A 27,828-nucleotide genomic window follows, 5' to 3' on the forward strand; every position below is an offset into this window, starting at 1 on the left:
CGTGAGCCATTGCGCCTGGCCCAATATTTTATTTTACTCATTTTTTTTTTGGAGTTGGAGTCTCACTCTGTCACCCAAGCTGGAGTGTAGGGGCGCAATCTCGGCTCACTGCACAAACTCTGCATCCCAGGTTCAAGTGATTCTCCTGTCTCAGCCTTTCAAGTAGCTGGTACACAGGCGTGTGCCACCATACCTGGCTAATTTTTGTATTTTTAGTATAGACGGGTTTTTGTCATGTTGGCCAGGCTGATCTTGAACTCCTGACCTCAGGTGATCCGCCTGTCTGCATCAATATTTTAAATAAAGATGTTAATGCTCCACAGGTTGTGCGTCTTTCCCCACGTGAGTCCACATTCTTTTCTACCCTAGGATTACTACTGGCACAGAGGAAGTTGAACCACTGTCCCCCTTTGGTTGGATGTTTGCAATACTTCTGCTTTTATACTGCAACAAACAATACTTGTGCTTTCCCTCCATCTAGCACTGTGCCTCCAGGAGAGAGGGTTTTTTTCTGGTCGCCCCTGCAGACATGACCCTGCTTGTCCCTGGCCAATCCCAGGGCCAGACTGGATTGTTGGCCCTCTGACTCACCCTAGAAGGCCTGGGGCTGGAGAGGCCTGGAACTCCTCGGAGGTAAGTGCCAGTGTGAGGCCAGCCAAGCCCTGCCGGGCCTGCTTTCCTTGTGCATAAAGAAAACATGCCGAGTCATTGTGACTTGCACTTTTTGACTAGTGCGGTCAGGCTCTGTGTGGCACTGCCGTAGGCCTGGGTACCTCCTAGTGTGAGGAGCAGGAGCTGCTTTCCAGCAACGCCCTACAGCCCCTGTCAACTCCTGCCCAGGGGCGCTGGACAGGCTGGGCTGGGCAGGGGCGGTGCTGGTGACAGACAGGACACTCTTAGGGGCTCCTCCTGCACAGTCTGCAGGACGCAGTAGGGAGAGATCTTCATCCTTGTCCCCTTTTCTGGTACCTCTTGGGTTTCCCTGAGCAAGGCTGGGGTGGTGGAAGGAGCTATTTTGTTCCAGTGGGTATTAAATATTAAAGCTTTTGTTTTGTGTCGTGGGGAGGTTAAGTGGATTTTCTCCTGGGCTGGTTGTTGAACAGCTGAGAGTGAAACTGGCTTCTTAGAGTAGGACTAAAAAGCTCCAGAGAGTGGCTCACAGAGGGGTTGCTTAACCACTGTGAGCCACAGCTCCTCCTGGAAAACCTGAAACCATCAGGAGCACTTCCCTTGTAAGGTCACCTGAGAAAGTGAGTGAGGAGATATCTCACTTCCCAAACCAGGGTTCTTTGGCCCCCAGACACATGACTTTTACTCTCTCTCTTCCCATCCTTGCCTCCAGAATTAGCAAGGGCACCCAGTCAGCCATCCTGTTCTAGTGACTTGGACAAGGCATCAGAAAAGCATTTGTTAGGCCAGGTGCGGTGGCTCACGCCTGTAATTCCAGCACTTTGGGAGGCCGAGGTGTGCGGATCACAAGGTCAGGAGTTCGAGACCAGTCTGGCCAATATGGTGAAACCCCGTCTCTACTAAAAATACAAAAATTAGCTGGGCGTGGTAGTGGGTGCCTGTAGTTCCAGTTACTTGGGAGGCTGAGACAGGAGAATCGCTTGAACCTGGGAGGTGGAGGTTGCAGTGAGCCAAGATGGCGCCACTGCACTCCAGCCTGGGCAACAGAGCAAGACTCCATCACCAAAAAAAAAAAAAGCGTTTGTTCCATGCTACTGTGCAAAAAGAAAAGTGCTGCTGCTGGCTATCTGGTCAGGGCAGGGAAGTGGTTTTGCCATCACTGGTCCTCTGATTTCACTCAACACTTCATTTACCAGGGTCTATGTGTTGGGCACAGGTGCTGGATGCCCCAGCAGCACGTGTTTATACCGCACTGTCCAGTGATTTGTACAAACAATTGCCTGCTGAGGTTGTTGATCTGGGAAGGCGCCAAGGAGGGGGTGACAGCCAGTTTTGAAATAACAGAATTTTCTGCAACAAAACTGTGTCTGTGTCTAGCTGGCATGGGTGAAGAGGGGATTGAGGAAATACATTCATTTCAATATGTATTCTTTTTATGTTAATTTAATTTTATTTTTGTAGAGACAAGCTTTCACCATGTGGGCCAGGCTGGTCTCAAACTCATGACCTCAAGTGATCCGCCTGCCTCAGCCTCCCAAAGTGCTGGGATTACCGGCGTGAGCCACCGCGCCTGGCCGACTCTTTTTTTTTTTCGAGACCCAAGCTGGAGTGCAGTGGTGTGAACACAGATCACTGCAGCCTTGACCTCCTGGGCTTAAGTGATCCTCCCACCTCAGCCTCCCGAGTAGCTGGGACTATACGTGCATGCCACCACATCTGGCTTTGTGTGTGTGTGTGTGTGTGTGTGTGTGTGTGTGTGTGTGTGTATGTTTGGTAGAGATGGGTTTTGCCATGTTGCCCAGGCTGGTCTTAAACTCCTGAGCTCAAGTGATTCACCCACCTCTGCCTCCCAAAGTGCTGGGATTACAGGCGTGAGCCACTGTGGCTGGCTCCTCCACAGATGTTATGTGGGAGAGTAGCATGCTTTTCAGCGATGTATGGAGAGGTTTCAGAGGGAAGACCGGAGGTCCTCTATGGGGTATTTTGGGAATTTGTGTACCTGTGTACCTGTGCCCAAGCATTTCCATATTAAAACAGAGTCTTTCTATGCTGCCCATGCTAGACTTGAACTTTTGGGCTCAAGCAATCCTCCTGCCTCAGCCTCCTGAGTAGCTGGGACTACAGGTGTGCCCCATACATATTTAATATGAAACATTTCATTATTAACGTTTCTCCTTTATATTACAATTAGAGAATATTATTTTAAAATTGTGTGTACAAAAAATCATTTCAAAAATTCTTTTTTTTTTTTTTTTTTTTTTGAGACAGAGTCTTGTTCTGTCACCCAGGCTGGAATGCAGTAGTATGATCTTGGCTCACTGCAACCTCTGCCTCCTGGGTTCAAGCAATTCTTTTTCCTCAGCCTCCCTAGTAGCTGGGATTACAGGCGCCCACCACTAAGCCCAGCTAATTTTTGTATTTTTAGTCGAGATGGGGTTTCACCATGTTGGCCAGGCTGGTCTCAAACTCCTGACCTCAGGTGATCCACCGGCCTTGGCCTCCCAAAGTGCTGGGATTACAGGCGTGAGCCACCCTGCCTGGCCAAGCCTTTTTATTTTTACTTTGCTCTGTTGCCCAGGCTGGAGTGCAGTGGGCTCAAGTGATCCTCCCCTCTCGGCCTCCTGAAGTACTGGGATTGTAGGCATGAGCCACCATGGCTGACTGTTTTGTTTTTTGTAAAGAAAAAAAAAATGAAAGGAAAAAAATAGAAGCTCCTTCTTACAAAAGATCTGTTTTACAAAAGAAGAAATTGTGTGTATAGCCATAAGTTATATTATCTATGAATTCCAGGTTAAGATAGCAAAGAAGGATTTATAAAATATTTTTTAAAAAGAGTGGAGGTGTCCAGTGGAGCTGAGGCCTCTTGTGCAGGACCCACATTAAATGGGAGCGATGGTCCGCACACCATGGCCAGGGTCCCCTTCCCATCTGAGGGCCGGGCTGGAGGGCGTCAGACAGAAGTTAGGGAAGCCTCTCAGTGCCAGCGAGATGGGGAGAGCATGCTAGAAAGCTCTATTCAGGGAAGGACACCTGGCCTGGAAGGGGCAGACTCTGAGGGGCAGGGACACGTCAGAGACACAGCAAAATGGGGCTTGTGTAGCAAAACTGTGTAGGGGCCCAGACTTTGCACCTGCTTCAGAAGCCAGAGCTCCACTGCCGACTCAGAGACACCACAGAAGATGGGAAGCGGCCTGCAGAGGGTGCCTCCTAGAGCTTCCCTGGGACTCAGGCAAGGCCAGAACCACCGTTCTGGGGTGACTGGGACCTGGTAGGAAAACAGCTGCCCTGTGGATCATGGCGACCTTCCCGGCTCCACATTCTGGGCCTGGGGCCATCTGGGGCCCCTTCAGACTAAAGGACTGACATCCGTCCTGCCACAACCAATGCTCCTGTCCCTTCCTGGGGTGACAGGAAGTTGGTGTTGTGTGTGTGTGCACGTGTGCACAGGTGTGCACTGTGGCCCTTCTGGGAGGCTACACTCGGAATAAGCTCTGCCTCTCGGGGGAGGCATCAATGAGAATGTACTGACTTAGTCTGTGTTGCTATAAAGGAACACCTGAGGCTGGGGAATTAATAAACAAGAGGGGCTTGTTGGACTCACAGTTCTGCAGACTGTGCCAGAAGCATGGAGCCAGCATCTGCTTCCGGCAAGGACCTCAGGAAGCTTCCACTCATGGCAGAAGGGGAAGGGGAGCTGGTGGTCCGTGCAGATCGCAGGGTAAGGGGGAGGCAAGAGAGAGGAGAGGAGGTGCCAGGCTCCTTTTAACAACCAATTCTCGGCCCGGTACAGTGGCTCACACCTGTAATCCCAGCACTTTGGGAGGCCAAGGTGGATGGATTGCTTGAGGTCAGAAGTTTGAAACCGGTGTGGCCAACATGATGTAAATCCGTCTCTACTAAAAATACAAAAATCAGCCTGGCATGGTGGTGTGCACCTGTAATTCCAGCTACTTGAGAGGCTGAGGCAGGAGAATTGCTTGAACCTGGGAGGTATGGTTGCAGTGAACCGAGATCGCGCCACTGCACTCCAGCCTGGGCAACAGAGTGAGGCTCTGTCTCAAACAAAACAAAACAAAACAAAAACAAAAACAAAAACAAAAAGCAAAAAACCCCAAAAAACAAAACAAAAAAAACCAAACCAAAAAACCTATCAATTCTCCTGAGAACTAACAGTAAGGACTCACTCACTGCCACGAGAAAGGCAGGAAGCCATTCATGTGGGATCCACTCCTGGGGTCCAAACACCTCCCACCAGGACCCACCTCCAACATCAAGATCACATTTCAACATCAGATTTGGAGGGGACAAACATGACAAATGTCAGCTTATGATTTCTTGTGGAATTGCACTTCAAATTTATTCAGACTCATCTGAAATAAATGTTGGTTGAACATGATGTGACTGTCACATTGACTTTGCATCACCTCTCCCCCAGCCATTCCATCTCTGCTGGTTATAAGAAATCTCTTACTAGCAGTCGTTTAATTGTTGTTTACTTTAAAAGTCGCTTACTTTAAAAGTCGTTTACTTTATCTTAGTTTATTTTTTAGAGATAGAGTCTTGCTCTGTTGCCCAGGCTGGAGTGCAGTGGCACAATCGTAGCTCACTGCAGCTCCTAGGCTCAAGTGATCCTCCCACCTCAGTGTCTAGAGTAGGTGAGACCACAGGCACATACCACCCACACCTGGCTGATTTTTAAATTTATTTTGTATAAGGGGTGGGGATGTTGCAATATTGCCCAGGTCAATCTTGAACCCCTGGGGTCAAATGATCCTCTCACCTTCGCCTCCCAAAGTGCTAGGATTACAGGTGTGAGCCACCTGTGTCCAGCCTAGCTGTCTTTACTTTTGGCTAATGTAGCCTGGTGAACCTGAAGAGACATGCAAGGTGCATAAGGCTCTCATGGGCTGGGAGCCCCATGGCATAGGCTCAGCATGGGTTCCTTATACCTCTGTGTGAGTGTGGCAGCTATCTTCTTACCTAAAACTCCATTCAGCAAACTCTAAGAGGTTTAGAATCTTGAATTGATCTAAGCCCTTTAGAAAGCTCTTAGGACTCTTCATATTACATGTAATAGGTAGCCAGTTCATACTGCGTCAAACATGGAAGTGGAGGGTGAGCTTCAAGCTTGGTTTGATTCTGTGACTGGGTATTTCTTGCTGTTGCTTCCTTCTGTCTTCATCTGATGGTGGGCTTCCTGCTCATCGACAGCCTGGCTGCACCACTTCCCGCCTCTCCTCTGGTGAGAGAGACTGTCTGGGTCCTGACAGCTGAGACAAACATTACTTTTCAGAAGACTCAACGAGCTGTTATTCATACACTTCTTATTGAAAGATCAGATTTTTTATAGCAACACCTAATCTATGAACAAGGACCCATAAACAGTGAGGGAAAATGTCTTTAGAGACAACCAAGAAATCTCAAACCCATCTGTTCAATTTAAAGAGGAAACTCTACAGCTCTTATTCAGGACCTGTTGACTTAAGCTTTTCACAAAATTCCAATGAACTTGGTTACCTGGCTTCCTAGAACTTGACAGGTGAAAAGCAGCAGGTGAGAAGCTTTTAATAAACAGCAGTAACGTGAATGACCTCAGACACTATGAAAAGCCTCAAGGATAATTTATCACTTAGGCAACGGAGTCAAGAAAGGAATTCCGGCCGGGCGCAGTGGCTCTCGCCTGTAATTCCAGCACTTTCGGAGACCGAGGCGGGTGGATTACCTGAGGACAGGAGTTCAAGACCAGTCTGGCCAACATGGTGAAACCCTGTCTCTACTAAAAATTAAAAAAAAAAAAAAAAAAAGTAGCCAGGCATGGTGGCATGTGCTTGTAGTCCCAGCTACGTGGGCGGCTGAGGCAGAATTGCTTGAATCTGGGAGATGGAGGTTGCAGTGAGCCGAGATCGCACCACTGCACTCCAGCCTGGGTGACAGAGTGAGACTCTCTCTCTCAAAAAAAAAGAGAATTCTAGAGTACCTCTCCAGGCTGCTTAGTTCAGGTCCTTGACCACCTCTGCTTAATATGCAACCTTTGGCACAGACTCAGACTCAGTCACTCTCAGCTTCAATGTCCTTCTCCTAACATGGGTTATTGTGAAGATCAGGAAAATAATCAACAGCAATTCTTTAATATTTTTTTTTTTGAGATGGAGTTTCACTCTTGTTGCCCAGGCTGGAGTGCAATGGCGCGACCTTGGCTCACCGCAACCTCCACCTCCCAGGTTCAAGTGATTCTTCTGCCTCAGCCTCCCGAGTAGCTGGGATTACAGGCTTGCGCCACCACACCTGGTTAATTTTGTATTTTTAGTAGAGACAGGGTTTCTCCATGTTGGTCAGGCTGGTTGCGAACTCCCAACCTCAGGTGATCCGCCTGCCTTGGCGTCCCAAAGTGCTGGGATTATAGGCGGGAGCCACTGTGCTCGGCCATGCTAAAAAAAATTTTTTTCCCCCTAGCTACTGGGGAGGCTGAGGCACGAGAATCACTTGAGCCCGAGAAGTGAAGATTGCAGTGATCAGAAACCACGCCACTGCACTCCAGTCTGGGCGACAGAGCTAAAAAAAAAATGAGGCAGGGTCTGGCTCTGTCACCCAGGCTGGAGTGCAGTGGCGCGATCTCGGCTTACTGCAACCTCTGCCTCTCAGGTTCAAGCAGTCGTCCCTCCTCAGCATCACAAGTAGCTGGGACCACAGGCGCCCATCACCACACCCAGCTAATTTTTTGTATTTTTTTGTAGAGACAGGGTTTTGCTATGTTGCCTAGGCTGGTCTTGAACTCCTGGGCCCGACCAATCCACCTGCCTCAACCTCCCAAAGTGCTGGGATTACAGGCATGAGCCAGTGGAGTAGAATGGCACAATCTCGGGTCACTACAACCTCCAACTCCCAGGTTCAAGTGATTCTCCTGCCTCAGCCTCCCAAGTAGCTGGGATTACAGGCATGTGCCACCACGCCTGGCTAATTTTTTGTATTTTTAGTAGAGACGGGGTTTCACCATGTTGGCCAGGCTGGTCTCGAACTCCTGACCTTAGGTGATCCATCCGCCTCAGCCTCCCAAAGTGCTGGGATTACAGGTGTGAGCCACCACACCCACCTGGACAGCAATTCTTATAAAGTGTTGAATGAATGAGCATGCAGCATTAATGATGACTGAGGGGGGTGTGTGTGTAACAGTCATACAGCAAGAGTTAGCTCAAAGACAGGCAAATACAGCAAACATTTTAGGGAGAATTTATACTAAATTGTCACCAATGATTACACTATTATATGATAACTATTATTAGAGAGATGTCTGATTAAACCTTTTTTTTTTTTTTTGCTGGGCAGGGTGGCTCATGCCTGTAATCTCAGCACTTTAGGAGGCCAAGGTGGGCAGATTGCTTAAGCCCAGGAGTTCAAGATCAGCCTGGGCAACAGAACCAGACCTTGTCTCTGCTAAAAATAAGGCTGCAGTAAGCCAGGATTGCATCTTTGCACTCCAGCCTGGGTGAGAGAGTGAGACCCTGAGACCCTCACTCAACAAACAAACAAACAAACACAAAAACCAAACCAGAAAAACAAAAAACCCACCTTTTTTCATTTAAACTTTTCTCTATTTTCTATAATAATTATGCTTTACTTCCCTCCGTCCCTCCCCTCTTCTTTTCTTCATTATCATCCTAGATGCCCAGCACATCATAAGAGCTTAAGACACATGAATTGATTGAATCTGGGAAATGATTCAGGCTGTAAAGTCTCCTATAATAAGTGTTTTTGGCCATGAATAGAATTACGCCCTGTATCTGGGAAAACTTAAGAGTTCTTTTTTTTTTTTTTCTTTTTTCTTTTTGAGACAAAGTCTTGCTCTGTCGCCCAGGCTGGAGTGCAGTGGTGCGATCTTGGCTCACTGCAATCTCTGCCTCCCGGGTTCAAGTGATTCTCCTGCCTCAGCCTCCTGAGTAGAGTAGCTGGGATTACAGGAGTGCGCCAGCACACCCGGCTAATTTTTGTATTTTTAGTAGAGACGGGGTTTCACCATTTTGGCCAGGCTGGTCTCGAACTCCTGACCTCAAGTGATCTGCCCACCTCGGCCTCCCAAAGTGCTGGGATTACAGGCATGAGCGACTGTACCCTGCCACCTGAGAGTTCTTTAGCAGTCTACCCATATGAGGCCGGGCGGTGGATCACGCCTGTAATTCCAGCACTTTGGGAGGCCAAGGCGGGTGGATCACTTGAGGTCAGGAGTTTGAGACCAGCCTGGCCAACATGGTGAAACCCCGTCGCTACTATAAGTACAAAAAAAGTCAGCCGGGCGTGGTGGCGAATGCCTGTAGTCCCAGCTACTGGAGAGGCTGAGGCACGAGAATCGCTTGAACCCAGGAGGTGGAGGTTGCAGTGAGCCAAGATCGTGCCACTGCACTCCAGCCTGGGTGACAGAGTGAGACTCTGTCTGAAAAAAAAAAAAAAAAAAAGAAGTCTACCCGTATGAGTTACAATGTGTGGCTACTAGGAAGGAAGTATTTAATAGGTACCAGGACTCAGAAGCTTCAGTTCTAATAATCCATATGGCCTGTGATCCAGCTGCCTGGGAATGGGCTGTGATGGTTAATCGTATGTGTCAACCTGACTGAGCCACAGGATGCCTACATAGGTGGTTCAACATGATTTCTGGGTATGCATGCCTTCAAGGGTGTTTCTGGGAGACATTAGCCTTTGAATGGGTGAACTGAGCAAAGCAGACCTGCCCTCAGCAGTGCGGTTGAGCACCTTGCAATCTGTTGAAGACCTGAACGTTAGTGTGAACCCTGGAAATTTGAGTCAGGTCTCAGTTAATTTAGAAAGTTTATTTTGCCAAGGTTGAGGAACACGTGCCTGTGACACAGCCTCAGGAAGTCCTGGACATGTGTCCAAGGTGGTCAGCGCACAGCTTGGTTTTATACATTTTAGGGAGACATGAGACATCAATCAATGTATGTAAGAAGTACAGTATGCGTGGCTGGGCGTGATGGCTCACGCCTGTAATCCCAGCACTTTGGGAGGCCGAGGTGGACGGATCACGAGGTCAGGAGTTCAAGACCAGCCTGGCCAATATGGTGAAACCCCATCTCTACTAAATGTACAAAAATTGGCGTGGTGGTGCATGCCTGTAGTCCCAGCTACTTAGGAGGCTGAGGCAGAAGAATTGCTTGAACCTGGGAGGCAGAGGTTGCAGTGAGCTGAGATTGCCTGGGCGACAGAGTAAGACTCCATCTCAAAAAAAAAAAAAAAAAAAAGAAGTACATTGGTTCTGTCCAGAAAGCAGGGGACAACTCGAAGCAAGGAGAGGGCTTCTAGGTCATAGGTAGGTGAGAGAAAAATGGTTGCATTGAGTTTCTGATAAGCCTTTCCAAAGGAGGCAATCAGAATATGCTTCTATCTCAGTGAGCAGAGGGATGACTTTGAATAGAATGGGAGGCAGGTTTGTCCTTAGCAGTTCCCAGGAGGATCCCCTGAGTTCCTCCAGCCTGGGCAACGTAGTGAGACCCCATCTCTAATAAATAAATAAATAAATAAATAAATAAATAAATAAGAATGCATTAACTCTGCCTGACCACCTGAGCTGAGACATCCATCTTTTGCCTTCAGTGCTCCTGGTTCTCAGGCCTTCAGACCTGGTCTGGAATCTAGACCACTGAATTTCCTGGTCTCCAGCTTGCAGACAGCAGACAGTGGGAATTCTCAGCCTGTGTAACCATGTGAGCCAATATCTTTTTTTTTTTTTTTTTTTTTGAGATGGAGTTTCACTTTTGTTGCCCAGGCTAGAGTGCAACGGTGTGATCTCGGCTCACTGCAACCTCTGCCTCCCAGGTTCAAGCGATTCTCCTGCCTCAGCCTCTCAAGTAGCTGGGATTACAGGTGCCTGCCACCATGCCTGGCTGATTTTTTTCTGTATTTTTACTAGACACAGGGTTTCACCACGTTGGCCAGGCTGGTCTCAAACTCCTGACTTCAGGTGATCCACCTACCTCGGCCTCCCAAAGTGCTGGAATTACAGGTGTGAGCCACTGTGCCTGGCCGAGCCATTATCTTATAATAAATATCTTCCTCTATACAGTACTCCCCCCTTATCTGCCAGGGGACATGTTCCAAGACCCCCAGTGGATGCCTTAAACTTTGGGCAGTACCAAACCCTACATATGCTATGTTTTTCCTACACATACATACCGACGATAAAGTTTAATTTATAAATTAGACACAGGAAGAGATTAATAATAAATAAAACAATTATGACAATATACTATAATAAGTGATGTAAATGTGGTTTCTCTCTCTTAAAATATCTTTTTTTTTTTTTTTGAGATGGAGTTTCACTCCTGTTGCCCAGGCTGGAGTGCAATGGTGTGATCTTGGCTCACTGCAACCTCCACCTCCCAGGTTCAAGTGATTCTTCTACTTCAGCCTCCGGAGTAGCTGGGATTACAAGCATGCACCACCATGCCTGGCTAATTTTTGTATTTTTAGTAGAGATGGGGTATCACCATGTTGGTCAGGCTGATCTTGAACTCCTGACCTCAGGTGATCCACCCGCCTCGGCCTCCCAAAGTGCTAGGATTACAGGCGTGAGCCACCATGCCTGGCTCTTAAAATATCTTATTGTAGGCCGGGCATGGTGGCTCATGCCTATAATCCCAGCACTTTGGGAGGCTGAGGCAGGCAGATCACCTGAGGTCAGGAGTTTGAGACCAGCCAGGCTAATGTGGCAAAACCCTGTCTCTACTAAAAAATAAAAAAATTAGCTGGGCATGGTGGTACAGACCTGTAGTCCCAGCTACTTGGGAGGCTGAGGCACGAGAATCACTGGAATCTGGAAGAGGGTGGAGGTTGCAGTGAGCTGAGATCACGCTACTGCACTCCAGCCTGGACAGACTGTGCCTCAAAAACAAAACAAAAAGCCATCTATCTATCTATCTATCTATCTATCTATCTATCTATCTATCTATCATCTATCTATATCATCTACCATGTATCTTATTGTATTTTACTCACCCTTTTTTATGACGATGTGAGATGGTACAATGCCTACATGATGAGAAGTGAGGTGATGGCGTAGGCATTGTGATATAGCATTAGGCTACTGTTGACCTTCTGTATTCCTGAAATCTGTGTAACCATCCCTTTCTTGCAGTAAATGGCTTGGTGTCCCCATTTCAAGAGATCTTTTAGGTCTTTGTATAGGCTCAATGCTTTTTGGTGCAACATACTGTCAATCAGAACACGTTTTCTGTTCATGTCTTCCACGAGATTTAATGCTTTTTCCATCTTCTGTTTTGAGACAGGGTCTTGGGCACCCAGGCTGGAGTGCACTGGCACAATCATGGCTCACTGCAGCCTCCACCTCCTGGGCTAAAGTGATCCTCCCACTTTAGCCTCCTGAGTAGTTGGGACTATAGGCACAAGCCACCATGCCCAAGTAATTTTTAATTTTTTTGTAGAGATAGGGTCTTGCTCTGTTGCCCAGGCTAGTCTTGAACTCCTGGGCTTAAGTGATCCTCCCTCCTCAGCCTCCCGAAGTGCTGGGTGTACAGGTGTGAGCCACCGCACCCAGCCACCTTTTCCATCTTATCACACACCATGGCTATAACTTGCAGTTTAAAGTGCAACAGCAGGCCAGGCATGGTGGTTCACACCTGAAATCCCAGCACTTCGGGAGGCTGAGGTAGGCAGATCCCTTGAGGTCAGGAGTTCAAGACCAGCCTGGCCAACATGGCAAACGCCTGTCTCTACAAAAAATGCAAAAATTAGCCCGGTGTGCAGCGCATGCCTGTAGTCCCAGCTACTCGGGAGGCTGAGGCACGAGAATTGCTTGAACCCAGGAGGCAGAGGTTGCAGTGAGCCAAGATCACGCCACTGCACTCCAGCCTGGGCGACAGAGAATCTGTGTCAAAAAAAAAAAAAAAAAAAAAAAAAAAGCAACGGCAAAACTAGAGCAAAGTTTTTATTCAAAAGTTTATGGATGGAAAGTTCATTTTTATGTTGACCTCAGCAACCTCAGATGTGACTTTTCTTTTTTTTTTTTTTTTTTGAGATGGAGTTTTCCTCTTATTGCCCAGGCCGGAGTGCAATAGCATGATCTCGGCTCACTGCAACCTCTGCCTCCCGGGCTCAAGCAATTCTCCTGCCTCAGCCTCCCCAGTAGCTGGGATTACAGGCACGACACCACATCGGCTAATTTTGTATTTTTAGTAGAGATGGGGTTTCTCCATGTTGGTCAGGCTGGTCTCGAACTCCCAACCTCAGGTGATCCTCCCGCCTTGGCCTCCCAAAGTGCTGGGATTATGGGTGTGAGCAACTGCACCCAGCCAGATGTGATTTTTTTTTCCTTAAAAGGTTGAGAACTTTCACTTTTCCCTTAAAGGAAGCAGTTTATGGCCTCTCTTAGGCATACCTGACTTGCCACATCACTACTCTTGCGCTTTGGGGCCATTATTAAATAAGGGTTTCTTCAACACAAGCACTGCAATACCCCGACAGTTGGTCTGATAACTGAGATGGCTACTAAGTGGTTAACTGGTGGGCAGCATATATAGCGTGGATTTGCTGGGCAAAGGATGATTCACAGCCCAGGTGGGATGGCGAATGATCTCATCATGCTTCTCAGAACGGCATCGAACTTAAAATGGTTTATTTCTGGAATTTTGTATTTAATATTTTCAGACCTGGGTTGACTGTGGGCAACTGAAACCTAGATGGCATAGCCTACTACACACCTATGTTACATGCATGGTACAGCCCATGGCTCCTACGCTGCAAACTTGTACAGCATGTGACTGTACGAATACTGTAGGCAACTGTAACACAAGGATAAGTATATGTGTATCTAAACACAGAAAAGGTCGGGTAAAAATAGGGTTGTAATTCTATGGGGCCACTGTCATAAATGTGGTCTGTTGTTGACTGAAATATCACATGGTACATAACTCTATCTTCTCTCAGGTCTGTTTCTCTGGAGAACCCTGACTATACAGGCTGGAAACAGGTAGATAACAGTTTTCTTTTTTCTCTGTGTCAGACAGGTAATATGCCGACATTGTAGCAATGTTTCAGGATGGCCCATCTCACACCTGTGTGTGAACACCTAATCCTTATGCTTAAGAAGTACAAAAGGATCTGATAACAGTTTTGTCGGTTCTGTTTTTTTGCCTCATCCCATTTCACCAGTATGGCACTCTGCAAAAGTGCAACTCATTCAAAAGTCCCTATTTCTACAAATTAAATAAAAACACAATTAAATTTTAGTAGGTGCTAAAACTTGGTTTTGAAATTTTATTAAAAAAATATATTTGCAAACATATAAAATTTAAGATGAAAAACGCTCATTTTAAAACATGTAATAACTTAATATTTGCAAACATACACAGATGCTATAAAATCCATACCATTAAAAATGTTAATGATACAGTATTGCGCTCATGGAACAAAAATCTTGCTGTAATTCCAGAGCTTCTCGTCCCCATGTTTCAGGGAGCTGAGAATCTGGTACAATGAAAGTCATGAGAGCCACATGGCCAAAGCAGTAATACAGAATAAAAAACCATTTAGAACACATATTTTAAAAACATGTTTCTTAAGGAATCACACAGATAAAAAGGAAACACAATTCTGCATTTTCCCCACTTTGAAGTGAATGATATTGCATCTTAGCATTTTAAATGAAGGTGTCAAATACAAAACGGAGGGAATCACTGCACACATCTGTTGAATTTGCTGAAAAACAGGCTCCTCAAGGCCCTGGTCCACTCGGAAATGTTCTCAAGCACAGCTGTAAAAAAGCCTAGTGTAAGCTGCTTGACTTTGCTCAGATCTTAGCATTTTAGAGACTTGAGAACACAGGGCACTATTGGTTCCAGAAGATACACTGAACGCAACTGAAGAAAACTGAAGGGAGGCAAGAAAGAAAAACATACTCTGCAGCAAACGTGCAGCCAGGATGCAGGATGCGCACCCTAGGATTCCTCAGTTCTCCTCACTCACACGGGCTGAGCCCACTCGTGCCTGTGCCACCTCTCATTCCTCTCAGAGTTACAGTATGATGGCTGATTTTGTTTTTTGAGCAGTTAGGCACCTTCAATTTCATGTTGCATTATTAGTAATACAATGGCAGTTAGGGCCTCTACTATGGAAATGAGAAAATTTCAAACTACATTCTTTGGGGGAGGAGAGTAATAAAGCTGCATGGTTTAAAAATTTACCTAGTAGTGGATTTGATAGGGTTTATATAATTTCTACAAGAAAACATAAGCCAGGAAAAGGACAAATGCTTGACATGCAAAATCTGGTTAGACATATACTAAACTAAGCCTGTGTGTCCCCCTGTAGAGAGGGGCCCAGCGTGACTTTTTTTTTTTTTTTTTTTTTTTTTTTTTTGAGGTGGAGTCTCACTGTCGCCCAGGCTAGAGTGCAGTGGTGTGATCTTGGCTCACTGCAACCTCTGCCTCCCGGGTTCAAGTGATTCTCCTGCCTCAGCCTCCTAAGTAGCTGGGAGTATAGGCGCGTGCCACCACGCCCGGCTAATTTTTGTATTTTTAGTAGAGATGGGGTTTCACCATGTTGGTCAGGCTGGGACTTGGGTTCTTAATAAAATACCACTCTCTGTGATGGCTACATCTAAGCCTTTGAAGGTGAGCTGTGGACATACCACATGTGGACAGCATGAAATGCTTCTTCTGACACTGAGAGTCACTTGAAAAACTTGAATTCAAAGTCAAGCAGGCCAAATCTCACACCTCATGAATCCCAGGAGGTACACAATGAAGAAGAGCTTCTGCCTTAAAGGAACAAGGCTGTCTGGGAGGCCTGAGAGTCCATTAAAAGACACCGCATTAACTACAACAAAAAGAAGAGCAGCACCACCCACCAGTGGTGCCCCAGACACACCTCTCCTCCAAGCTCTGGGCTGCTCCTCTTGGAGTCTACACTTAGACCCTGGGGGTGGGGGTGGGCACACAAATGGACAGAGTGGTCTAAATGCAGGTCTCCTGGGGTTCTGCGAAATCTAGCCAGAAGCATCTCCATCTCGGTGTCCATTTCGATCCAACTAAGCTTCCAGTAAAGACACTGCAGCAATGTAAACATGCAACCTAAGCTAGCATGAGGTTCTAGATAGTAAGCCTGAACTAGGAATAAGGCAACTGAACTGTGACTTTCGGGCCAGGGTCATCCAGCTGCAATTATCCAGGCTTGGCCTGGCTTCTCTAGGGATTCATTCTGGCCTGAACTTCCTGGTAATCATGACATGAACTTCTGGCTTCTGAATTTTAAGTAAATACTTTGAATATATAAATTTGGGAGGTGAAACAGGTTTACCCTTTTCAAGTCTCCATGACTTGGGCACTTAAGTTTACTTTCACACTAAGGAAGCCTTATCATAGATGCTCTTTACTGTCTATCATATCCATTCCTAGCATTAAAGGTGAAAATTAGTATGATCACAGACTCTCTTTAGGATATTCTCTCTTAACTCTCTCATAATATTACATACTCAAAAGCATAATTTCGATTCAAGAATCCCTTGATTCGTCTGTTCACCGAAGCCCACTGAGACTACACTTGAGGTGCAATCACACCTACTGGTGCGTCCACTTTATGGAAGTCACGTGGCTCCCTGGACACCATCTCCCGGTGTCAGCAACACTCTGTATCCCACTATAGCTTTCTCGTTCCCAGATGATGCATAAGGAATTCATTTTTGGTTGCTTAATTTACATACTATCTGTGAAAACAAACTATTCACAATTGAGCATGAAAACTTATAAGCTTCCCTGAATTCTGCACAATTCACACATAATTAGGTAGACAGCAATAGAAGACACTAAAATGAGAAGCAGAAACCCTGTCCAGGAAGCATGTTTAGATCAACAAAAGCCAATCATTCTTTATGCTAAAAACTAAGACCAAACTAAAACAAGTATGTAATTCACAAGTAATTTTCTAAAATTTTAGCTAGAAAAAAATAATCTATGGACTTATGATTGAGTTACCATTAAAGCTTAAATGATTGTTCCTAAGGAACCATCATATCTGTCAGCATTATTCACAGCTAATCCTTATGCTAGCTGGTTGAGCCAATTGGGTTTTTACCCCATCATTAAATAGTGCTCAGAAAAGTAAGCAGTGCATCTTAATTGGTTAAATACTACAAAATGACCTGTATCATAGAAACGAAGACACTTTCATTCAAAGAATATCTTAAAATTACTATTGCTGAAATAAATCAAAATCTACATTAAAATATTACTAAACACCATTACATGCCATAAAAGAATAAATAGAAATCATGGCAGATCAATAGCAGCATAACAAAGCTTCTTTACATATTTTCACACTTTGGGCCGGGAAAGTACTCACAGCCTAGGAATACATTGGTAGAGTTCGGAATCACATTTTCTTTTAACTCCATAATTCTACAACAAAATAAGGGCAGTGTGAATAACAGCTCCCTTTTCTGCATAGCTTTAAAACTATTCTCAGTACACTCAAGGAAAGGAACCAGAATGGCTTTGTCAGATTGGTCCACTGGTCCTTTTGTCAAAGTGTTAAGGAAAACAATCAACAATGACAGAAAAGGAAAATAAGGCTGTGCTTCACACACAAACTTAGCATTTTCAGAACCAATGGAGAGTTTAACCTAAAATGAAGATTTGATAGGATGTGGGCATTCCCAGCCCCAGCCTTTCCTTCAAAGGTATGACATGCCTGTGTCCACACCACCAGAGCCTGACAGTGCCCTATTCAAATGGTAATGCTGCACTGGGGGCCTGCTGCAGGGCAGGACTGGGGCACTTAAAAACAAAATGCTATTAAGAAATTTCACAACTTTTAAGGCCCAAATGGGGCATTCATATAAAATATACTTCACTTGAGGAAATAATTCCTAATTTGCCGGCTTAAATTCTGGTCCTAAAAACTAGAAGCTACTTTGCAGAGCTGCCTTCTACTCTGTTCAAAACTTGACTTGTCAGCCCAAAGCCCGTTTCTATGGGGTAGGCTGGGGGAAGCGGTGGGGGCCGGGCTGAACTTCTGCTGTGAGGCTGGTGACTACTCCTCTGTAAGTCCTTGAAAGTGAAAGCAAGCTGAGAATCTGACTCCTTATTCCACAGCCTTGCTCCTAGCTGATGAAAACACCCACATAACTTAACACAATGATCGCTCTCTTTTTTTTTTTTTTTTTTTTTTTTTTTGTCAAAACAAGGATCTGCTGGTGATGCTTCACAGTGAAACCTCCATTATCACTGAGAATGTCACTTGGAAAACATTCTTAAGAAATGAGTCTCTTTCTCATAGGCTCAATTTCAGGATTCTCAAACTCAATGTTCTGCTCAGAAGTTTCCATGATGAAGCCTATTTGTCTCTGAGGCTGGGGCTCTGCCTTTAGACTTATTCTGCTCCAGTCATAGGTTGTGGTTGTCTTTGTTCTTGGTCAGAACCTGCAAGTAGACTTCATGAAGTGTACTGAGGAAGCTGGAATCATTCTAGAAGAGATGGTAAAGGTTAAGGATACGAATGCCACATTTACCTCATCAGATTTTACTTCCTTGGTAACAGCTTAGGAAAAAAATTGTATAAATGATTTGTATAACTGATAATCCCACCACCCAGAGACAATCATGATTAATATTTTGAGTTCATGCAGATATTTCTCCACCAGGACTGTATGCTTAAAAAAAGAGAAACAGTACTCCCAGCTAGTCTGTTTTTGTTTTTTTTTTGCCTGCCTTGGCCTCCCATAGTGCTGGGATTACAGGTGTGAGCCACTTTGCCTGGCCTCCAGCTAGTCTTTTGAATTTACTTTATGAACTGATTCTGTAAGAGGAATTTATAAAATTTCTTTCATTAAATAATGAAAAATCAAAGATAAAATTGGTATCCTACATACCTTTATTAGATGTATTAATGTATCCTGGAGCTGAGACTTGCTGAGAATAATGGAAGGCTTTCTCTGACTTTCTGGCGTTCCAATAGTTAGAGGAGAAGGGGAGCTGGCTTTCCTCTCAAGGTCCGAAGATCTTGTAACTGTCTGCTGGAAAACACTTGGGGCCAGCAGGACTGAAGACACTGCAGTGGTCGTTGCAGTAACCAGTGGGGCGCCTGCAACCTGGAGAGTGACAATGGTCATTTTGTACCGAAGTGCAGAAGCCAGTAGCCAGGCCCAGAATAGGGACCATGTGGAAACAGGCATAAGCAGCAGAAGAGTGGAGCACAGAGACAGACTATTTTGAGTTCAGGTAAACATTCAGTAGGAACATGTGAACATCTGACATCTGGTTATAAACTTCCATTAGCTAAAGGATGACCAGCCCATTTATGTAAGAATGTCCTAGAATCATTACGGGAAGCCAAGTCCAACCACCACAGTAGGTAAGAGAAGTAACAGTATAGAATGCACAGTAAGAAAAATCCTATGATAAATTTAAAATGTAAAGGCTTTTTGGGAGGAGAGTTGGGGAAATGACTGAAGAGGACATGAGGGAACTTTCTGGAGTGACAAAATGTTACATATTGATTGGGTTGCCCAAGGGATATTACATACATGTGTCAAAAACTCATTTAAAAATCTGCATGTTTTGGCTGGGCGCAGTGGTTCATGCCTATAATCCCAGCACTCTGGGAGGCCGAGGTGGGGTTCGAGACCAGCCTGGCCAACATGGTGAAACCCCGTCTGTACTAAAAATACAAAAATTAGCTGGGCATGGTGGCGTGTGCCTGTAATCCCAGACTCAGGAGGCTAAGGCATGAGAATCGCTTGAACCCAGGAGGTGGAGGTTGCAGTGAGCCGAGACTGCACCATTGCACTCCAGCCTGGGTGACAGAGAAAGACTCCATCTCGTCTTTTTTTTTTTAAGGCAGGGTCTCATTCTGTCACCCAGGTGGGAGTGCAGTGGTGCAGTCACCACTCACTGCAGCTTCAACTTCCTGGGCTCAAGCAATCCTCCCCCCATTTTTGATTTTTTTGTAAAGACGAGGTCTCACTAATGTTGCCCAGGATGGTCTTGAACTCCTGGGCTTAAGTGATCCTCCCACCTAGGCCTCCCAAAGTGCTGGGGTTACAGGCATGAGCCACCACACCTGGCCTCTAAAAATCTGCATTTCAGTTTATGTAAATCACATTGCAATAAAGAAGAATTTAAAAATCCAATTATGGCCGGGAGTGGTGGCTCATGCCTGTAATCCTAGCACTTTGGGAGGCCTAGGTGGGAGGATCACTTGAGGTCAGGAGTTCAAGACCAGCCTGATCAACATGGTGAAACCCCATCTCTACTAAAAATACAAAAACGTAGTGGAGTGTGGTGATGGGAGCCTGTAATCCCAGCTACTTGGGACGCTGAAGCAGGAGAATCATTTGAACCCAGAAGGTGGGGGTTGCAGTGAGCTGAGATAGTGCCACTGCACTCCAGCCTGGGCAACAAAGCAAGACTCTGCTTCCAAAAAAAAAAAAAAATCCAGTTATGTTCAATCTATTTTTTTATACTATTATAGATAGCAATGAGAAAATTTCTTAAAATAAAGCTAACATCTACCTCTCTCCTCCATTTAGATGTGCTTCTAGGCTAATTCCAGCTAATTATCTGAATACATTAAACCAGTAATAATCAGTATTTTCAGTATTTGTCAGATTTGATACAATCAACAGAGATCTGCATTTCTTTCTCTTATATGTCACCTCCTCATTTACAAAGAGCACAGAGCGGGCCACAGTTTCAACGGTATGGTTTTTGGCATCTGAGCTATTTACCTTTTATTTATTTATTTTTGGTGCAAAAGCAGGCTGAGATAGATCACCATGCAGAAGGACAAGACACATAGAAAAGAGGCTCGTTTCCAAGACCAGTCAGGTGCTGGCTCCCATTTAAACTCCAAGATGTAAGACCAGTCAGAAGCTGGTTCCCATTTAAACTCCAAGACTCAAGGAGGGTACAAAGGCTCAAAGGAAAACAGAAATGACTTTAGGGAGCTAAAAAAAAACCTGTGTGCATTGCAAGGTTAGTGGGTGATGGAGAGTAGGGACAACAAAAAATGAAGCAAGGGAGGACAAATGGGACAGAAGACACAGGCCTGGGAGGCTTTGTTCTCAGAGCAATGGGAAATGAGAGGACTATAGCAGGATAGTGGCTCTGCCACCTGGGACATCACAGCTCTTCCAGGGCAGTATTTCCTACTTATAGAAGCCAGGCTACCACACTCTTAGCAGTCACCCATTCACAAATACCGAGTAAGGGCCCACCGTGCCCTCTACACACACAGTCAGGGAAGATATCCATGCAGACGCCTCGAGATCCACAGAAGCCACAGCAATGGACTCTGCCAGGACGGGGTGGGAGAGGACCTGGCCTAGGAAAGGCATCTAAGATGTGCTGGGCTCCATAGCTAACTCTTTTCACTAAGCTGACAACCTTTTACTTCACATCCAGCAGAACTTAAAAATAATGTGTTCTTCAGAAAGAGGGAGTCCTGGCTGGTCCAAAGGGAGTGAATTATCTCACCTGACTGTTCACAGCCAGTTACAGACCAAATTCCTTGTTCTACTCTTTCTACTTTCTCACTATGGCACCCGACTAGTCTTAAAAAAAAAAAAAAAAAAAAAAAAAAAAAGCGAGTCCTTACCGGGATGGCACTGGATAACACCTTAGGCTGCACAAATACTTCAGGATCCTGGTTCTGCTGCATAGACTGAAATGTTTATGAAGAAAAGACAGACGGATATAAGAAGTTTCAATTAAGAAGACTTCCTAGTCTTAATTGAAAAAGACTTTCCCAGTGGAAAATCTAGGTTAGTAACAGAAAATGGTTCAGATATTAACTAGTTCCTAGATTCCCAAGGGAAGAGTCTGACAGGAACCTGTAACCATGCAGCCAACAATTCAACTGCACTAGAGCTCTGCGACAGCCTCTCCTCTTTAGCTCCTGAGGGAAGGGGTGTGTGCAGAGCCTTTCAGGTATCTTTAAAGAAAAACCTGAAACCTGTGTCTCTTATAAAAGCCAGAGACAGCCCAGGAATATATATAATTTTTAATTTTTGTGGGTATATAGGTGTATGTATTTATGAGGTATATGAAATGTTTTGATACAGGCATGCGATGCATAATAATCACATCATGGAAAACGGGGCATCCATCCCCTCACGAATTTTTCCTTTGTGTTACAATCTAATTATACCCTTTTCATTATTTTAAAATATATACTTAAATTATTATGGACTATAATCACCCTGTTGTGTTATTAAATACAGGTCTTATTCATTCTATTTTTTTTTTTTTGTATGCATTCACCATCCCCACCTCCCCCCACCTTCCCACTACCCTTCCCAGCCTCTGGTAACCATCCTTCTATTCTCTATCTCCATGAGTTCAAATAAAGTAAGAACATGTGATATCTGTCCTTCAGCCTGGGCATATTTTTGCTGCTGAGTCTGTAGAGATAAGAGATCTAGGCAGCATGGCACCTCTTTATAAGGTGATGTAAATATGGGCAGTTGAAAAAATCAGCTTTATTTGACCTCATACCTTCGAGTCTAGGATGCTCTTATGGCACCTCTAGGGTACTTGGCACAAGGTAGGCACTCTAGGAGACTGCCGTGGGAGATAGGGAGTTAAGCTTTGGAATAATTTGGTCCTCAGTCAAATGAGGACTCCTGGAACTGCTGGGCAAAAGCAAAACAAACATACAACCCCCACTAAAGTGAATATCCCGATAGGAAAATATAAATTACTTGGTTGTTCATGATAGGGCTTCTTACCTCACCTGTCTCCGAGCCTCTGACATACTTTAAAGGGACAACTCTAAAAATTGTCATGTCATGACAGTTAAAACCAAGGTCTCTGTAGTTTCATCCCATCCAGTTACAGTTACCCACTCTGCCCACCCCCACCCTCCTGCCATTACCTGAAGGGGAGCAAGCACCATGTTGCTCAGGGAGGCTGAGGCCGCCACTCTTGCTGCTGCTGTCTTAGAGGGAGGCTCTATGAAGCTCTCAGGTGTGGCTAGCTGACCAGCTGCCGGAGAAAAGCTGGCTACCATTGCACCTTTCCCAAGTGGTTGTGTCTGTATTTGGTCATGCTGTGGGGTCAACCTGAGTTTCTGGAGAAGATCAACGCTTGGGAGGGATGTGCCAGCTGTGTTCGTCACGTTCAATGGGGCCCTGAAGGGGCTCTGGTTGGCAATCAGACTGGCATGGCTTAGCTCAGGGACTGGCTGGTTCAGGAGTGGAGACCTCTGTCTAGGCGTGGTCTTCACTGCCTGCATCATGGTGCTGTTTCGAGGTAAGCTGGGGGGAACCTGTGCAGTAGGAGCTTCAGCTGGCAGAGTGGGACTGAGAACAGGGCTCAACGGGATTGTGTAGGTTGGAGCATGCTTTTCATTGGACTGTGTGATGGAGGCTGGAGTGATTAGCACCGGGGTGGTGATTTCAGGCTGGACTGAATGGTGGGCAGCAGAAGGGACACCCAGGGTTTCTGATTGAGGGGCTCCTCCTAACTGCTCAAAGGGAAATGGTAGGAATGAATTGGGCTCTTTCTGGGAGGCATCTCCTGGCAACCTCTCCATTTCTTCTGAATCCAGACCCACAACTGCTGGTTGTTCCTTTGGCAAAGAGGTTCCAAATAACTCTTCTACCGTCAGATGCTTGTGTCCAGATGGAGCAGACTGAAAAACAAATGAAACCACCCAGTCAAAGAGGTCTGTTATAAATCAGCATAACCAAACTTCTTTTCCAGAAGCCAAAGATTTTGCAGAATCAAGGATGGATGGAGTATCAAAATAAGGAACGGAAAAAACTGAAGATATACTAAGGATTAAGGCCCAGGTTCATCTAGTGTCCCCAGGTTGGTGGATGGAAATTTGCATTGGTAATATAATTCAAATTTTTAGGGTCTCTGGGTAGCAGGATCAGAATTCACCATTCTTTTTCTTGGCAAAGCTGACTGTGCCCAATTGCCTCATGTCAACAACACACAGGGAAATGACACTAGAGGAGACACAGGGACCAAATGCTAATCAGGTGATTCTACCTTTACTTTCACTGTTCTCAATGAAACGCTAGGCACTGGACCTCAGAGACTGGGTCTCAAATATCAGAAAATAAATCTAGCCATTTAATAGTGGGCCATCCCCAACTCCCACTGCCTTAGTCCCTAGTCACAGAATTCTTCAGAAAAAGCATGTAAGCCTGACAATTTAAAATTTATATATATTTTAGTAAGTTGGCTTATTGATACCATAATCGTTCAAAGGAAAAACATTCGTGTTTTCCTGTACTTTTAAGCAGTATTTCCATAGTCAATAACCTTTATTTCCTGAGTACTCACAGGGTGCCAGGTCTTGCTCTAACCTGGGCCCACGCGATGCAGCAAGGGAGTAACAACAGTTCTCACAGAGCTTACATTTTAGTGGGAGACACACCTAAGCACTTTGAAAACACAGACAGCCTCAACTTTTTATTCCTAAAATGAGTGAATTAGTTGTTTAGATCTGTTTATACTGAAAAAATTAGTTCACTGAAACACATGATTCTCAAGGCTTCAGAAAGTCTGTAAGGCCCCAAAGTACACTGCAAATTAGTATAATATCAATATTATAAGACTATGGTATGATCACATTTCTACAGGAAAACAAACCCAGTTTTGTCCAGGCAAATGTTTCATCCATTTGATAAAAATTCTTGAATTTATCAGGTGCCAGGCATTGTGCTGTGACTGTGATGTGAAAAAAGAGGCCAGGACAACTGGTAAGGGCCCCCCCACCGGACCCCCGCACACACACACACAAGGCAGAGTTGCAGAGCTCAGTGGGAAGGAAGGCACTAGGAAGAGGAGTGAAACTGGGGAGGGATGAGGCGAGCTGGCTGGGGAGCACAGCCACTGAGAGCCACACGTGCTTCAGCACAGCTGGATCAGAGGCTGGGTAGGAGGGTGACAGGGAAAGAGAGAAGAAGCGGGCAGACTGCAGAGTATCTGAGACACGTTAGAGGATCTGGACTTTATCCACAGGGCAATGGCAACATGTCCAGGGGATGAGCCATCAGGCTTTATATTTTAGAACGTGCACTTGGTCGGCCACATAAAGGACAAATTGTAGGGGTGAGATTGAGGAGAGTCTGGACTAAGATACTGGCAGAGAAGAGGATGAGAACTGGAGTTGGAATGGAAGGAGTTGGTGGCTGGTCAGGTAGGAGCAGGGAGCCTAGAGGACACCCTGGTATCTGGGTATTGGGTGGTGGTATCACTGCCTGGGCAGGCCAGCCCAGCCCAGGAAGAGCACCTAGGGTTAGGGAGAGGGGGAAGCTGAAGTTAGTTGTGAACATGTCTGGAGGTCTCTGTGGGACATCTAGAACCTGGAGGTACTGACTTAGAACACAAAACGGTAATTTCATTTTGGGTTATTAAAACACAAAGATGGTAATACAAGTCAAGGGAGCAAAGGCATCCCCTCAGGAGGCTGCAGCGACACAGCTGTGATGTCCTATCAACCACCCACAGGCAGGGCCTGAAGATGACTGCCGCTGCCTGGCTCTGCTCCTTTCCAGCTGTGTGGCCTGAGGAGTGCTGTCCACTTCTCTGAGTCTCAGGCCTCTATAAAGTAGGGAGGTCTGGTGGGAGGCTGAAATGTATGGAACCCAGCACACAGGAAGTGTGTGTTTAATGTCAGCACTCCTAACAACATGGAAAGCGAATTTGCCAAGGCAGGGGCTCTCTTTCTCATGTATTCCCCAATCCTTGCCTTTCTTGCTCTTGGACTTGCCTACCCAAGTAATGGCACCACCACCCAGGACCACAGATCCCATCAGTACATGGCAGACACTCAACAGTGCTCTCTTCCAAAGTTCTTTCGGGGAGTAGGGGGAAGTCAGTATGAGGAGAGGGAGCTTAAGGCAAGAGATCCTGTGTCAGGAGGGGCTCCTGTCAGACAACAGAGAAAGAGGGCCAGCAGCGATGAGCATGCAGGCAAGTTTGCATGTGAAGGACAGAAAGTTAAGGGAGTGCCATTCTGTCTTCTCTCCCTGGTATGAGGACAGCATCATCTGCTAGGTGAGAGGGACAGGGCAGGTCTGAAAAAATGTAGTCAGTAAAAAGTAACTGTTGTGGAGGAAGAGGCAAGAACCTCCCACAGTTGTAAAAAAGTTGTAGCTTCATACCAAACCATTTCACCTTTAAAAATATTCAATAAAGAGATTCTACTAATGTTAGACTCTCACTTCAAATATAAGGCAGCATCAGTATCTAATTTTAGACCATGGATACAAAAAAATACTAAAGATCTTATATGGTTCAATTTCTTCATATTTTTACTTCTGAAAAAAACTGTAGAGTTTAGGGTCTGAAATAAAAGATACCTCAGCTGTTAACTGGGAAAATTACATCATCTTTCTTTTTCTTTCTCTTTTTTTTGAGACAGGGTCTCATTCAGTCAGACTGGAGTGCAGTGGTGTGATCACAGCTCATGCAGCCTTGACCTTCCAGACTCAAACAATCCTTTCATGTAGCTGGGACCACAGGTGCATGCCACCATGATCAGTTTATTTTTAAATTTTTTGTAGTGAGCCATTGAGCCCAGCATAATCCTTCTAATTTAGTTCCTTATCTGAAAAGCGAGGACATTGTGACAATGATCTCAGAACACTGTTGTGAAAATTAAATTCTCAATATAATGTCTGGTGCCCAAAAAGCATTAAATTGAAGTTGGCTTAAACTATAATCACATAAACACCATGTGGTCTTTTTTTTTTTTTTGAGACACAGTCTAGCCCTATCGCCCAGGCTCAAGTGCGGTGGCGTGACCTCGGCTCACTGTAACCTCCTCCTCCCAGGTTCAAGCGATTCTTATGCCTCAGCCTCCTGAGCAGCTGGGATTATAGGCGTGCGTCACCACATCCAGCTAATTTTTGTATTTTTTGTAGAGACAGGATTCACCATGTTGCCCGGGCTGGTCTCAAACTTCTTCTGACCTCAGGTGATCTGCGTGCCGCGGCCTCCCAAAGTGCTGGGATTACAGGCATGAGCCACCGCGCCCGGCCCACCATGTGGTCTTAATAGCAAGCATGGAGTACCAAACAAAAATTCATTAAATGCTCCTGGAATATCATATCCCACAATGCAAGACAACAACAAAACACCTGGTAAGATAACCAAGGCTAGGCTATTATAAACCTCCTGGTCACTCCCAATGCAAAGAATCATCAAGGACACAGCTGTCTGGTAATATTTCAAACCCATTCCATCTAGGTCAAAATAGACAACAAATTCTCCCTTGGGACAGACTTCTCTGTCCAGGCCACATAGCTGCAGACATGTTCACAGGTTCCATTTACTACACTGAACACTGTGACTTAGTCACTTGTGAATTCATGGCATCATAAATGTCTACTGACAGCACAATAGACATTTATCTCCCTATTTTAAAAAACTGTAGTAAAATATACATAAAACTTACCATTTTAACCATATTTAAGTGTAAAATTCAGTGGCCTTTAGTATATTCATGTTGTTGTTTTTAAGGTTCATCCGTGTTCCAACATGTATCAGAACTTCACTTATTTTTATGGCCGAATAATGTTCCAATGCATGTATATATGACATTTATTTATCCATTCATCCATTAATGGACACTGGAGTTCTTGAGATGTTTCCACCTTCTAGCTAGTGCAAATACTGCTGCTATAAAGACTGGTGTGGAAGTATCTGTTTGAATGTCTGTTTTCAATTCTTTTGGGTATATACCCAGGAGCAGAATTGCTGGGTCATATAGTAATTCCAAGTTTAACTTTTTGAGGAATCACCGAACTGTTTTTTTCCATAGTGCCTGAACCATTTTACATTATCACCAGCAATCCAACATGGTTGCCAGTATACAGCAGTATATGAGGTAACAGAGTATATGGAGCATTTTCCATATACTCTCCAACACTTGTGATGTTCCATTTTAATGATATTAGCCATCCTAATGAGTATGAAGTGATACTTCAGTGTGGTTTGAATTTGCATGTCCCTAATGACTAATGATGTGGAGCATCTTTTCATGTGCTTATTGGCCATTTGTATACCTTATATGGAGATTCCTATTAAAATCTTTTACCCAGTTTTGAATTGGGTTAATTCCTTTTTATACACATTATATGTTTAGAAAACAAATGGGTCAGGTTTCTTAGCAAAAAAAAGTATTGGAAAACAACACTAATTCTTTTTTTTTTTTTTTTAA

General features: G+C 45.1%; 1 protein-coding gene, 1 long non-coding RNA gene and 1 other non-coding gene across 7 annotated transcripts in view, besides 6 other annotated features; 1 reads left to right on the forward strand and 2 right to left on the reverse strand.

The window, feature by feature from the left end:
* Nucleotides 54–1,253: an enhancer, noted in NCBI's record as "MED14-independent group 3 enhancer chr3:53303617-53304816 (GRCh37/hg19 assembly coordinates)". NCBI's record gives its function as "activates an origin of replication core promoter dependent on BRD2, BRD4, P300/CBP and CDK7 cofactors, and independent of MED14, by STARR-seq in HCT116 cells {active_cell/tissue: HCT116}" and the evidence as "EXISTENCE:reporter gene assay evidence [ECO:0000049][PMID:35650434]".
* Nucleotides 331–1,207: a transcriptional cis regulatory region, noted in NCBI's record as "candidate enhancer chr3.2458 targeted for multiplex CRISPR interference". NCBI's record gives its function as "positively regulates TKT gene expression with high confidence in K562 cells {active_cell/tissue: K562}" and the evidence as "EXISTENCE:mutant phenotype evidence [ECO:0000015][PMID:30612741]".
* Nucleotides 427–26,328, forward strand: LOC107986087 (uncharacterized). Its single transcript, XR_001740702.3, has 4 exons — nucleotides 427–633; nucleotides 23,352–23,459; nucleotides 24,309–24,361; nucleotides 26,029–26,328. It is a non-coding gene; the product is annotated as an uncharacterized LOC107986087 (long non-coding RNA).
* Nucleotides 1,871–2,756: an enhancer, noted in NCBI's record as "H3K27ac-H3K4me1 hESC enhancer chr3:53305434-53306319 (GRCh37/hg19 assembly coordinates)". NCBI's record gives its function as "activates a minimal SCP1, AML or CMV promoter by ChIP-STARR-seq in primed H9 embryonic stem cells {active_cell/tissue: H9 hESC(primed)}" and the evidence as "EXISTENCE:reporter gene assay evidence [ECO:0000049][PMID:30033119]".
* Nucleotides 3,852–4,404: an enhancer, noted in NCBI's record as "H3K27ac-H3K4me1 hESC enhancer chr3:53307415-53307967 (GRCh37/hg19 assembly coordinates)". NCBI's record gives its function as "activates a minimal SCP1, AML or CMV promoter by ChIP-STARR-seq in naive H9 embryonic stem cells {active_cell/tissue: H9 hESC(naive)}" and the evidence as "EXISTENCE:reporter gene assay evidence [ECO:0000049][PMID:30033119]".
* On the reverse strand, nucleotides 13,649–13,752 carry LOC124906364 (small nucleolar RNA U13). The gene has a single exon (XR_007096331.1). It is a non-coding gene; the product is annotated as a small nucleolar RNA U13 (small nucleolar RNA).
* DCP1A (decapping mRNA 1A) overlaps nucleotides 13,882–27,828 on the reverse strand; it is a 64,115-nt gene continuing 50,168 nt past the window's right edge. For all 5 annotated transcript variants that reach the window (NM_001290207.2, NM_001290206.2, NM_001290204.2 and 2 more), the window contains 4 exons: nucleotides 22,522–23,280; nucleotides 21,244–21,309; nucleotides 18,518–18,736; nucleotides 13,882–18,113 (listed from right to left, as the gene is read on the reverse strand). In NM_001290207.2, coding sequence (NP_001277136.1) covers nucleotides 18,033–18,113; nucleotides 18,518–18,736; nucleotides 21,244–21,309; nucleotides 22,522–23,280 — 1,125 coding nt within the window. In that variant the 3' untranslated portion in view covers nucleotides 13,882–18,032. The remainder of the gene's footprint in view (nucleotides 18,114–18,517; nucleotides 18,737–21,243; nucleotides 21,310–22,521; nucleotides 23,281–27,828) is intronic.
* Nucleotides 24,598–25,099: an enhancer, noted in NCBI's record as "H3K27ac hESC enhancer chr3:53328175-53328676 (GRCh37/hg19 assembly coordinates)". NCBI's record gives its function as "activates a minimal SCP1, AML or CMV promoter by ChIP-STARR-seq in primed H9 embryonic stem cells {active_cell/tissue: H9 hESC(primed)}" and the evidence as "EXISTENCE:reporter gene assay evidence [ECO:0000049][PMID:30033119]".
* Nucleotides 25,100–25,599: an enhancer, noted in NCBI's record as "H3K27ac hESC enhancer chr3:53328677-53329176 (GRCh37/hg19 assembly coordinates)". NCBI's record gives its function as "activates a minimal SCP1, AML or CMV promoter by ChIP-STARR-seq in primed H9 embryonic stem cells {active_cell/tissue: H9 hESC(primed)}" and the evidence as "EXISTENCE:reporter gene assay evidence [ECO:0000049][PMID:30033119]".

This window comes from Homo sapiens, chromosome 3 (genome assembly GCF_000001405.40).
Source record: "Homo sapiens chromosome 3, GRCh38.p14 Primary Assembly".
Lineage (NCBI taxonomy): Eukaryota > Metazoa > Chordata > Mammalia > Primates > Hominidae > Homo > Homo sapiens.